General features: G+C 32.0%; 1 long non-coding RNA gene across 1 annotated transcript in view; it reads right to left on the bottom strand.

Annotated features, from left to right (window-relative positions):
* Nucleotides 1-12,390, bottom strand: part of LINC01192 (long intergenic non-protein coding RNA 1192) — a 126,059-nt gene that overhangs the window by 19,658 nt on the left and 94,011 nt on the right. Inside the window, exons 3-4 of the long non-coding RNA NR_033945.1 lie at nt 4,638-4,717; nt 2,728-2,854 (exon numbers count right to left, since the gene is read on the bottom strand). This is a non-coding gene — a long non-coding RNA (long intergenic non-protein coding RNA 1192). The remainder of the gene's footprint in view (nt 1-2,727; nt 2,855-4,637; nt 4,718-12,390) is intronic.

Raw genomic sequence — 12,390 nt, forward strand, 5'->3', positions numbered from 1 at the left:
TCAAATTTTGATAGGCAGTCTGAAAAAAGAGAATCACAAGACTGAATCTATAAATTGTCTAGTTCAAAGCAGAAACTGAGAAGCTGGACTTCCTGTGAACATGCTAAAAGCTTTTCTTTTGAGCTGCAGGGCTGTGGTAGCCAAAAGCAAATGCAAGGTCTGATCTTTCAGAATGCCAATTTATAATCTCAGTAGACTTTAGAGTTTCACTAAGCACAAGATAAGGAATTTCTTAAGAAACTTTCAGACCCTGAGAATTCAAAAAATTTTATATGAGAGAATTGTAAGGACATTGACTATTCCAAACCACAGTCCCCTGTGAGTCTCACTTGTCTTCTAAACCTGATTTATTCTCTTGCTAAAAGATGTTCTAATTTTCTAAAATGAGAAAAATACCGTCCAGAAAGAATAAAAGCAAATTATCCTTATGGCACACGTTTCCTATTCTTTGACTTTGTCTTTTTTTCCCCTAGAAATATAATTAAAGTTATATTTCAGCATGCGCTGTGTTCATTTACAAAGTCAAACCTAAGATATATGACACATAATTAAATACTTTTAATTAATATCAGCCAAAATTTGGATAATACATGGTAGAAATCAATTCTTAGAAAAAGCCAAATACACAAAAATATAGTTTTAGTTGCAGCTATGAAGATAAATATATGGGTACACTGATATTTATTGAATTGAATGTAGTAGTTTATACAGCTGACACTGTTCCTATAATTTCCCCAGATGGGCACTAAAGTGATGCAAACTAAGTGATTTTTAGATTATATATATTCCTGAAATAATGTATAGATAAGTATGAAATCTTACCTCCTAACTCTGCAAATATGTTATCTCAAATTATTCTAGAAGCTATATCCTTCATCAAGGCTTGAGAAAAATACTGACTTTGAGTCAACCTACATCTTTGAAAAGTATTTAATGTATGTTTTCTGAAGACTAGGGTTGCTTGAGTGAGATGTAATAGTTGAAATGGTCACTAGTTTTTTTTTTGTTTGTTTTTGTTTTGGTAAGGGCAAGATCTCATAACACATACACTCAAGTATTAGAGTTAGCAATATCGAGGCAAAGTAGGAATAATTAGCAGAATAGGCAGCAAATCTAGCATGGCTACCGGAAAAGTCTAACATCAAAATATGTTTTGAATCAACTAATTTATCATAAGATGTCCAAGACCTGAAAAGATGAGCAGCTGACAAATGTCCATCTTAATTTCTATAAATGAAAAATTCTAGTTCCAATGAATACAGTCACTATTATAAAGTCACTAACTTTTAAGAGCTCTGTCATAAATCTCCCCATGCTGAACAACTTGAATGAAGAAGAGTTGTTGAAATAACACCACAGTTACATTCAGTGAATATTTTCTCCAAGTCTCCCTGACAGTGGCCAGTGGATATTAAATAAGGTAATCATAGTAGAAAAGTAAATACCCAATATTTAAATGACTGGACAGTAAAAACTGACAGAAAGTAATTTTTGACAACCCATAAAACAATTTTGGTTTATTACTCAGAATGGAAGCTTATGGATAGTCACTAATTTTAACCAATATGCACCTTTCAATAGACTCAATATGGTCTAGATCTAAACAAATTATCTATGGTGGCTCCCAGATCCACAGGGTTAAAAATATGATGGCAAATTTAGCAAGCCAGGATCATTGGAACTTCTTTCCTACCAGAAGAAAGCAAGCCCATGATCCTGAGGGCTGCAAAACCATTACAGTTTTGAAAAATGCTTCAGTGTCATAATGAGTTATAACACCTCCCTGAATAGATTTTATAATTTGACTATAGGTGTATCTTGGGGATGGAAGATAAATTATTATAAAAAGTTTGATATAATGGCAACTCTTAATTGCAGCTGCTGTTCCAGATCTTTATTGAAATTCTTCAGCATATACAAATCCTATATTTAGAGTGCAGTTATGATGTGTCAAAGGTTTATTTTCTCTGTGATAGCAATTCTCAAAGAATGGTCTGTGGGACCATGATGGTCCCCAGAAGCTACCTGAGGGTCTGTGAGGACAAAACTACAGTAACATAATATTAATAGATTATTTGTCTTTTTTATTTTGATGACACTTACACTAATGGTGTCTAAAAATTAGTGGGTGAGGCCAGGCACTGTGGCTCATGCCTGTAATTCTAGCACTTTGGGAGGCCGAGGTGAGCGAATCATCTGAGGTCAGGAGTTGGAGATCAGTCTGGCCAACATGGCGAAACCCTGTCTCTACTAAAAATACAAAAATTAGCCAGGCATGGTGGTGGGCGCCCATAATTCCAGCTACTCGGGAGGGCTGAGGCTGGAGAATCACTTGAACACAGCAGGCAGAGGTGACAGTGAGCCAAGATCATGCCATTGAACTCCAGCCTGGGTGACCAGAGCAAAACTCCATCTCAAATAAATAAATAAATAAATAAAATAAAATAGTGGATGAAACTGTTGGCACATTAGCATGCATCAATATGGTGGCCCTTAAGTTGGGAATACTAGCATGGTATTTGAAGCTGGATATAAATGGATCAATGCTTTTTGGGTTCTAAAGAATATGATGTTTAACCCTGGGTGATTTTTTTTCCAAACAAGTTGTCCCTGAAGCAAACAGGTAAGAAATATAATTCTCAAACTCTGCAGAAGGAAGATAATATGACACACATAATTGATCTAACAGTTTATCTTAATATAGAATTGCAGAAGTTTGCCACATACCCACTGTCTTCAGAAACCTTTAGCGAAACAGAGATGGCTGGGAGAAATTGAAAATCCACCAAGAGCTGAGGCAGCTTTTGCACCGCTTCTGACTTGGAGAACTATTTTTGGTGACTTTCCAACATTTCTGAAACATCAAGTAATGCAAGGGAGCACAGGAATTAATATTGAATTAATCATTCATTTCTGACATAATATTTTTAATTTAAATTAGTATTTGAAGTTTATTATTAGGAAAACATTTACATTTAGGTGGATTCCTTCTGCCTTCTTGAGTTAAAAATTTGATTCTAACTGCCATTAAATGTTGAATCCTTCTCCATCCTGAATCAGAAAACAGGCCAAGTTCAAGACATTTTTACAGACTTTCCAACTGATAGTAAAGTATAAATGTTTTCTAAGTAATATTGTTGGCAGCAATGCAAGTCTTATGGATATTCATTAGCATTTAAATTTTTTATTGCTATTATATCAGAATACTTATTGTTAGATAATAAAATGAATTAATTTATTATTGTTAACTATTTTGAGCATTTAGGAAACTAAAAATTTGTTTTCCTTCTCCATTCTAGGTTTTATAATGTAATATAATTAATACTTTGTAGAATACTTAACATAAATGTGTTTGGAAATCATTATATCATGTGATTTATGATTTAATAACTGCAAGTGATTCATCATTTTCTCTACTAAAAATGAGAATTATTTTCCCATAAACATGTTTGATAAACATTAAATTTAACCTCTTTTATACAAAATGTATATTTCCTGAAGAAAAGGCTTTTCTATTTTTTCATTATAACTTCACTGATATCTGATCTTATCCTTATTTTTTTTCCTTCTTCTTGCTTTAGGTTTATTTCGCTTTCCTTTTGCTAGGTTCCTGAAGTAGGACTTTAGAGTATTGATTTGAGACTTCAAATTTTCCAATATATGCATAGAGTGCTAAAACTTATTTCTTTAAGCATTTACTTAGTGTGTCTCCCAAATTCAGATAGGTGTATTTTTACTTTTATTTACAGCAGTCTATTTTTTCCCTGTGATGTATTTGTCTAGTTTTGGCTTCATACTAATAATGTCCTCATAGAAAGAACTGAGCACATATGTGGTAGAGTTATTCATTATTTTTTGCTCCATTTATACGACCATTGCATTATAAAATAAACATCTTTTTCTTTATTTGACAGAATGACAGAAACAGCAGTTCTCATCAATATTTTAACTGTCTCCCTATATTTTCAAACATCCATTCATCTAATTTGTGCTATGAACATAGCCAATGCAATGTAAACAGGAGTGAAGTTCTTAGGCATTACAAGGTCCTACACAACCCCTTGGCTCTATGTTCCTCTGTTGTGATGCCCGAAAAGACTTTGTGCTCCAGTTGGTACAGTCCCAAGTTAGTGGAACCTCAGTTAGGGTGGGTTTCTGATGAATTTTGTGGAGCAGATCCCTCTGGCATCCCACATTGCACATATGCATTTATTTATTTTATTCATTGCTTGTGGGTTTTCTGTTTTTTCTGTCTTCTCAAGTAGAATATATGCTCTTTAAAAGTATAAGCCTTTTTTTGTATATCTCAGCAAACATTAACCACCTAGTAATAAAGGTTTGTAGATATTTGTAGTATGTAAAAAATTAGATATTTGATTTGAATTTAAGCATCTTAAAAATTTTAAAAAGTATTAAAATTCAAATTATATGCCAAATTTTATCATATGAATACTACCAAAACTGTTCCTTATATAAGCAGGATAACATACTAACTTGTGGCTTTGAAATAAAATGTGTTTTCCATCATATCCTATCTTTCAAATTCTTACTAATTCTTCCTTACAGCGTTGTGCTTTATGATTTAAATATATATTAATATTCACTTACAAAAATCATATAATAATTATATAACTTACCCACGCATGCAGCCAACTCCTTTAAGCACCAGACAAATGTTAGGCACATCCAGTCAGGGCATGGCTTTATTGTAGTTTGTCTATAGTGTTAAGTAAACATATTAAGTATCAAATCCACAATGATGCATACTACATGTTATAGAAATAAATCTATTTGATTAGTATTTTAATACTATAATATTAACAATATATCCTATGAAAATAAATAATGATTCATAAAAATTTGGTGTAAGGTGATTTAGAATGAGGTTTTCTGCACATTGCATCCCTTTACTTCATTGTCTGCTACTCTTATACCACATTATTGAAACTTTCCATTTGATATCAGACACATCTGCACAAGCTCTATTTACAAGGGTGGCTACTGGCTTTCTTCTAGACAACAATGACTTGTTCATGAAATAGAAACTTAGTCTAAACTGGATCAAGCATTGCTTTTCCTAATATTTATATATTCTGAAACTGCAATATGTTCACCCTTTTTCTTTTTTTTTTTAAGTTGGATTGACAAAGAATTGAATTAGTTTGTGGCTCTCGAACCTACCCCAATGCACAGCCTATGGAGAAAAACCATGCATGTTGGCAAAGAATCAAATTACAAGGCCAAGATATGACATAAAGAGTCAGCTCCTCTTGCTCCTCTTTTTGTGACCTGATGAATACTTTACTGCTTAAACATGTATTGGGTTTTTGTCTGTTCCAATTAGAATTCCTGGAAAAAAGTAGTTCAATAGTAGTGAATTATGAAAGAGAAAAGGTGAGAAAAACATCCCAAATGTCTAAGAATAAGAGATTGAGTGAGCATATTTTTTATGTAAAACTAAGAATAAGTTATCATGTCTATGGAAATGTCATATTTAATGTTATGAATAAGTATTTACAAAGCATTGTTAAAATTCCATGCACACACACACACGCATATTTATAACTAGATTTAAGCATACATGTACATTTGTAATCAGTTTTATGATTGGCTCACAGGTGGGCCGCACCAATGATAGCTGACACTTAGTATCATTTAAACTTATGGTCATATAACTATTCTCTATTCTTCCCAGAATTAAAAATGTAAAACGTCTATTTACCTTGGGCCTTTCGTGAAATACTGTAACATCAATGCCAAAGGATGCAGTACATAACTTAAATACTGTTTATTGGTTCTTCCTTATAGCTCTTCACAATAGCGATTGGGAGAATAAAAGAATGATGGGATCACTTTTGCTGATCCCTGGACTATTAAGCCTTTCTTAACTGACTCATCAATTCATTCAAATAAATATGTATTCAACACTGCATATCCATCAGATGCTCTTCTAGGCTACAGCAGCAAACAAGACAGAAAATGTCCCTGTGGATATTCCTTAGGATGTAGATAGGAAACACACACACACACACATATACACACAAACATACACATTCACACATATAAAAATAAGGTGACTCTATGGTCTTTTATAAAGGTTGAAAATATGCTAGGGAACTATGAATGCAAATACCACTATTTTTACAGAATAATTAGCAATATTATTTCTGAGGGTTTGTCATAAACATAGTGACCTGAATAAAGTGAAAGAGACTGGCAGATGGGCATATGGAGGGTTGGGGGAGCACTCAAGGCAACGTCAAGGGCAAGTGCACGTCCCCTGAGGCAAGATCAAACATGGAGTGCTCAAAGAACAGGAGGACAAAAATTGTGGCTGTATCCCAGTGAAAAATAATAAATTTCCAGACACAGTTGCTCTATCCTGTAGTTACAACAATTTGGGAGGCTGAGGCGGGAGGATCAGTTGAGCTCAGGACTTCAAAACTAGCTTGGGCAACATGGCAAAACCCCATATCTACCAAAAATACAAAAATTAGATGGACGTGGAGGTGCGCACCTGTGGTTCCAGCTACTCAGGAGTATAAGGTGGGAGGATCGCTTGAATGTGGGAAGCAGAAGTTGTTGTGAGCCAAGATCACGCCACTACACTCCATTCTGGCTGACAGAGAGAGACCCCATCAAAAAACAAACAAACAAACAAAAAACCAAACAAACAAAAAAACAAGTAAATAAGTATATAGATAATAAATAAATATAAAAATAATGAATGGCAAAGAGATCAGAGAGTTTCCAAGGGTCTGGATCTTAGAAGTCCTTGTAAGCCATGCTAAGAACTTACATTAATTTATATTTGTTTTTGATTTTAGATAATAATGTATATTTACTTTGTTTTAGAAAAGAAAGACAAAGGTGCAAATTTTACAACTTAAAAAGTAAGAGGAGAGACTTTAGGGACAATTTGCCTTCTGAGTACATTATATTTACCTGAAAAAATATGCAATCCCTAACAAATTAAACTGTCATGCATAAAAAAACTCTTGAACTGTAATTGTCCTATTTCCAGTCAGCAAGTATGAAATAATTAGTATAACTTAATTATCCAAGATTGTCCCTCAAATTATCCTTATACTTTAATTTCTATGAGTATTATATGTTATAAATTATTGGCCTCTTAGTACCTTCAAAAGATTACTGAAGTTTATTTACCAAAATAAATTTACTTCATCAAAATTATTGTAGTAATAACCCAAAAGAAATAAATTTCTTATTATAAATTTTAAATTGTTGTTTTCTTTTAAATGTTTCTCTCCAAGCCTGGTGTCTATGCATATGTATACACAGATTTTATTAATTATAATTATAAAATCCAATTTATATTTTTTCACTTAACATTTATTTGTATCCCTCATTTTCATAATCATGCTGATTATATCTAATCTAAACTGAAATCTACAACTACATTATAGAGCAACTGCCTATTAATCAACTCAATAATGCAACTTACATTTCCAAACTCAACACAGGACATCTTACAGTGATTTATAATTTATGTTTCTTATGCAGGAAAATTAATTCATGATTAATTTATTCTTATGAAACAATCTTTTACTCTGGTAGTCTTGCTTCACAATACTTCATTATAGATTTTAACTTGGAACTAGTTGACGTTTTCTAAGATTTTCACTCTGATCATGTAATAAATTTGACATAAATGAAAATATATATTTTCTTACCAGTTTAAATTTCAAAATTCAAATGTGGTATTATATACAACTTCATTGGTTAGAAATTTTTAATCTTCTCTACAGGCAGTAGCAATACATATTCAAACTGTCTCAAATGCTGTGCTATATTTTTACATTTGCTAGTTCTCTTATGATTGCAGAATAAATATACTTTCATTTCAGTTTGTTATTTTAAAGCTATGTCTTGTGGGTAAGAAAGAAAGTAATAATTTCTTGTCACAAGAAAGCTATAATTATGTGCATTTATATTTAACCTTTGTAGATATTACTCATTAGCATCTAGTAGCACTCGCATAGTTTACATTTTGATACACAACTTTTGTATAATGCCTGTAATGACTATGGTAATCTTTGACTTCAGACTGTTTTTTTCTTTGAAAATATTTCATCAATGTCAGAGTGCAAACGTCTAACAACAAGGCATTGGGTGACATCTATAATGTTTTCTACTATTATAAAAATTCAATCATGTGAATACCACTTTTAGAAAACATCTACTTTTTTATAAGTGTGAAAGATGAGAGTGAAAGGCCTAATCCATAAAAGCAAATGCTAAACAGGAAGATTGTAGAATAGCACTGACTCAAAGGAAATCAAATTGACAAAATAATCAGGGGTGGAAGGATAGGTTAGGGAGACCTAGCTACCCTGTTATATCTTAAAGTAACACAAAATTAAAGTTCTCATTAATGGGCTTTACTGTCTTGACATCAGAAGCAAGTAGAACACATCATCAAGAGGAAATCGGCATTTCTTTCTAAGTAGCTGTTCCTTTCCTTTCATCACTTGTCATCACCTTTATATAGATCATATATTATTAACAATAACACTGTGGAGGTTTTAAAAGACTGAAAGAAATTTCACTGCCTGACATGTTTCTCAATAGATCATAGGCACAAGAGTGTGTTGGATTCAGGCATTCACAAACACTTTTATCCCTTTACAAAATTGTTTTTAGATTTTGTTCTGACTTTCCAAGTGCTTTTAATGGAATAAATAATAAATAGAAAATGTTGGAATTTAATAAAAGCGATCGAAATTTATTTTTTGCCAATGAATGGATATTTTGTTGTATGTTAATGGCTGCAGACATGTCCTTTTTATCTTTTTGAAGGGTAAAGTAGATGATCTGTTGTTTTATTCTAAACTTAAATTCTGTCATCTGATTTATTTCTAGTTACTCCAATTCCTTTGCATTTTTAATAAAAGTAAAATGAGGAAAAATAGAGCATTTTCATATTTTGTTTTAGATTACTACTGAATATCATAATACACATGTATATTAAATATATATTTTTATATAAACATGTATGCCCACTTGGTGTTCATATTATAATCAATGATTGCCTTTATTATTTATAGTGAAATTCCTATTTTCTGATAAACATAGACTGATTTTGTTTTCCATCAGCCCAGTTGAGCATTATTTTATCATTTTATGTGATTTAAAGTGAACTTACTTAAATATGACTGTGATCCACAGTTCCACTAGAGTGTACTATAAAGATCTGGTTGAAGCGGCCAGCCTTAATAGATACATCTTGGCAGAGAAGATTCTTAGAGAAGAATGGATTTTCCATCTTTCTGCAACTAATCAGTCCCTTGCCAAAAGCAGATCTTACTTTTATTATCTAATGGTAAACTGGAAACTGCTAGCCTAATATATATCACCCAATTTTTAAATTTCTCCTGCATGCATTTACCTTAAAGGAGCATATAAACTTAGACTTTTAAAATTAATCCTGCTTTCTTCTAATTTGTTCACTCTTTTTCTTTGTTCCAAAGGTATTATAACACAATTAATGTAAAAAATACATCATTAACATTTATCCAATAAGGTTAGGTACTTTCTAATGAAATTCTCCACTTAGTTTTCAAGAAAGTTTTAAATAAGAAAAAAGTCAAATTAGTTATTCCTACTTAAAAATATATGAGGGATTTCAATACCCATTAAGTATAAGCCCTTAAGAAATATAAAACTATAAATAGTTGAAAATGCATTTTGCTATGATTAATAGTTTAAGTCAATGGCGATTCAACAGATTTGCAGAGTAAGTGATGTTGAGTGCAATTTCTTTTTCTTAACATTTAATTTTGAATATGAGATCTCTGTTCCAAGTTATTTACTGAAGCTAATTTTGAATAAACAACCTTGTTGATCTATAGATAATCCTTCTCAAATAGTGTCATATTGCCACTATTTCCCATTAGGCAACAAGCACAAGGTTAAAACAAAAACAAAACAAAAAGAAACAAAAAAAAACAGGTAAAGTAGCTTGAAAAGACCTATGACTATGATTATTGGTAACAAGAAACTTATATCAAAAGATTTGAAAATCACAAACTCAAATCAAAACAAAACAAAAAATACCAACACCACCAACAACAAAATTTCTTACCTGACCACCCTTTCCACTCAAAGTAAATAAAGTCAAATGACAGTACTAAAAAACTATATGACTATTTGGGTATAAAAATTAATCTTACCCTTACCTTTCATGGTAGAGAATAGGACACAAAAACTCTGCTGATCCCAGGAACATATTCCCCAATGCCCATTTGGGATGTTGCTACATTAGAATTACTGAGGGATAATTTCCCAGTAAAAGAAAAGTTCCAAAGATAAAGTCCCTTCATAAAGTGGGATCTGATCACAGTAAGAAACATTCTGTAGTCTTAAATATGTAAGAGACAACACATCAAACCTGAAGAACCACATTCAGAACACAGAAAAAGAAGAAACTTTCTCCACTGTTGTATTGTGTCAGCATAATTCTAATGTCAAAACCTTACTAAGACATTATAAGGAAATAAGGAAATAAATTATAGACCTAGATTTGTCATGAACAAAAGCACACACCCATAGCTAAAATACAGGCAAATAAATCCATCAACATTTTTTAAAGTTAAAACATTATAGCCATGTAGGTTTCTCTGAATACTGAAAAGTTAATTAACATTTTAAAACCTAGCGGTATAATTCTGCAAAGTAACATAAAATAAGAAACATAAGATCATTTTAGCTGACAGAAATACCTTTTGACAATATTTGGAATTTATTCATGGTGCAAACTCTCAGCAAATTTGTAGTGTAAGATTTCTCTCAACTTGATATTAGGCACCTATGTGATCATGGGTCAGGCAAAAGTTTCTTGGAGAAAACACAAAAATCATAAGAATAAAAGAAAAAGTATACATAAATTAACATTGTCTTTTATTGAGCCGATTTCGATTTTATTAAAGTCTAATTTATCATGTAATGGTTATTTGTTTCTGTTCTTGTGTTAAAAAATTGTCTTCCCAGACTTCAGTCATGAATGTTTTCCTATGCTGTCCACCCTAAGGATATTATTGTTTTCCTTTTTTAGGTTTAAGTCTACTACCCATCTGATATGGTTAGGCTTTGTGTTGCTGTCCAAATCTTATCTTGAATTGTAATTCTCATAATCCTCGTAATCTCCACGTATCAAGGGAGTGACCACGTGGAGGTAAGTAAATCATGGGGGGGCAGTTTCACCTATACTGTTCTTGTGATCATGAGTGAATCTCATGAGATCTGACGGTTTTGTAAGGGACTCTTCCTTCTTTGCTCAGCATTTCTCTTTCCTGGCACCTTGTGAAGAATGTGCCTTGCATCCCCTTAGCCTTCTGCAATGACTGTAAGTTTCCTGAGGCTGCCCCAGCCATGCTGAACTGTGAGTCAATTAACCTTTTCCCTTTATAAATTACCCAGTCTCTGGCAGTTCTATATAGCAGCGTGAAAATGGACGAATACACAATCTGAAATTAGTTTTTAATTTGAGGTGTGGTAAGGGTTGTTTCATTTTTTTCTCCTGTTTATTCCAAATTAAATGTGTATCTACATTGAACTGTTTTGATAATTTGGTTGAAAATAAGATAACTACATATGTGTATACCCGTTTCTATCAGCTTTCCCATTTTAACAGAAAATCTACTGTAATTCTGAAATTAAACCTGCATTTAAATTAAAATCAATAGACAGATGTGGTGAGGATTACCATATTAACAATATTGAGTCTTTTAATACACATGATATTACTTTATTTATGTAAGTATTTAAAAGTTTCTTTTGATAATGCATTGAAGCACTTAGTGTAGATATCATACACATATTCTAAAAATAATATGTGAAATAATGTGCACCATATTTTTAGAAAGTTTATCTGTAAGCATTTTATGTTTTGGATGCTATTGTAAATAGAATTTTAAAACTCATTGACAATTGTTCATCACTGGAATTGAAATGTATTGTCAGGTGTTGTATACTAACATTGTATTCTGAGACCATGATAACTTATCTTAATCTATGAGTTGCCTTGTAGAATTTTTATGATTTATTACATTAATCATCATGCCATCGAATTAAAGACATGTTTTCATTTCTGAGCTTTATTCTATTTCATTTTTTTGGCTGTATTACAATGGCTAGTATCTCAAGTTCTATGCTGATTGTAAGTAGAATATATGAGGATATTCACCTTGTTCACAGTCTTACGGGGAAAAGGTTCAATATTTTGACATTAACTAAGAGGGTAGTTACTGATTTTTTTAAGTTTCTCTGAGAGAAAGAAATAGAGAGCTGTTTACAGCATTCCTAGGTAATGTAGTTAAAATAAACAAAAACTATTTTGTAACAAAATAATTAAAATTTAGTAAAATATAA

This window comes from Homo sapiens, chromosome 3, assembly GCF_000001405.40.
Source record: "Homo sapiens chromosome 3, GRCh38.p14 Primary Assembly".
NCBI lineage: Eukaryota > Metazoa > Chordata > Mammalia > Primates > Hominidae > Homo > Homo sapiens.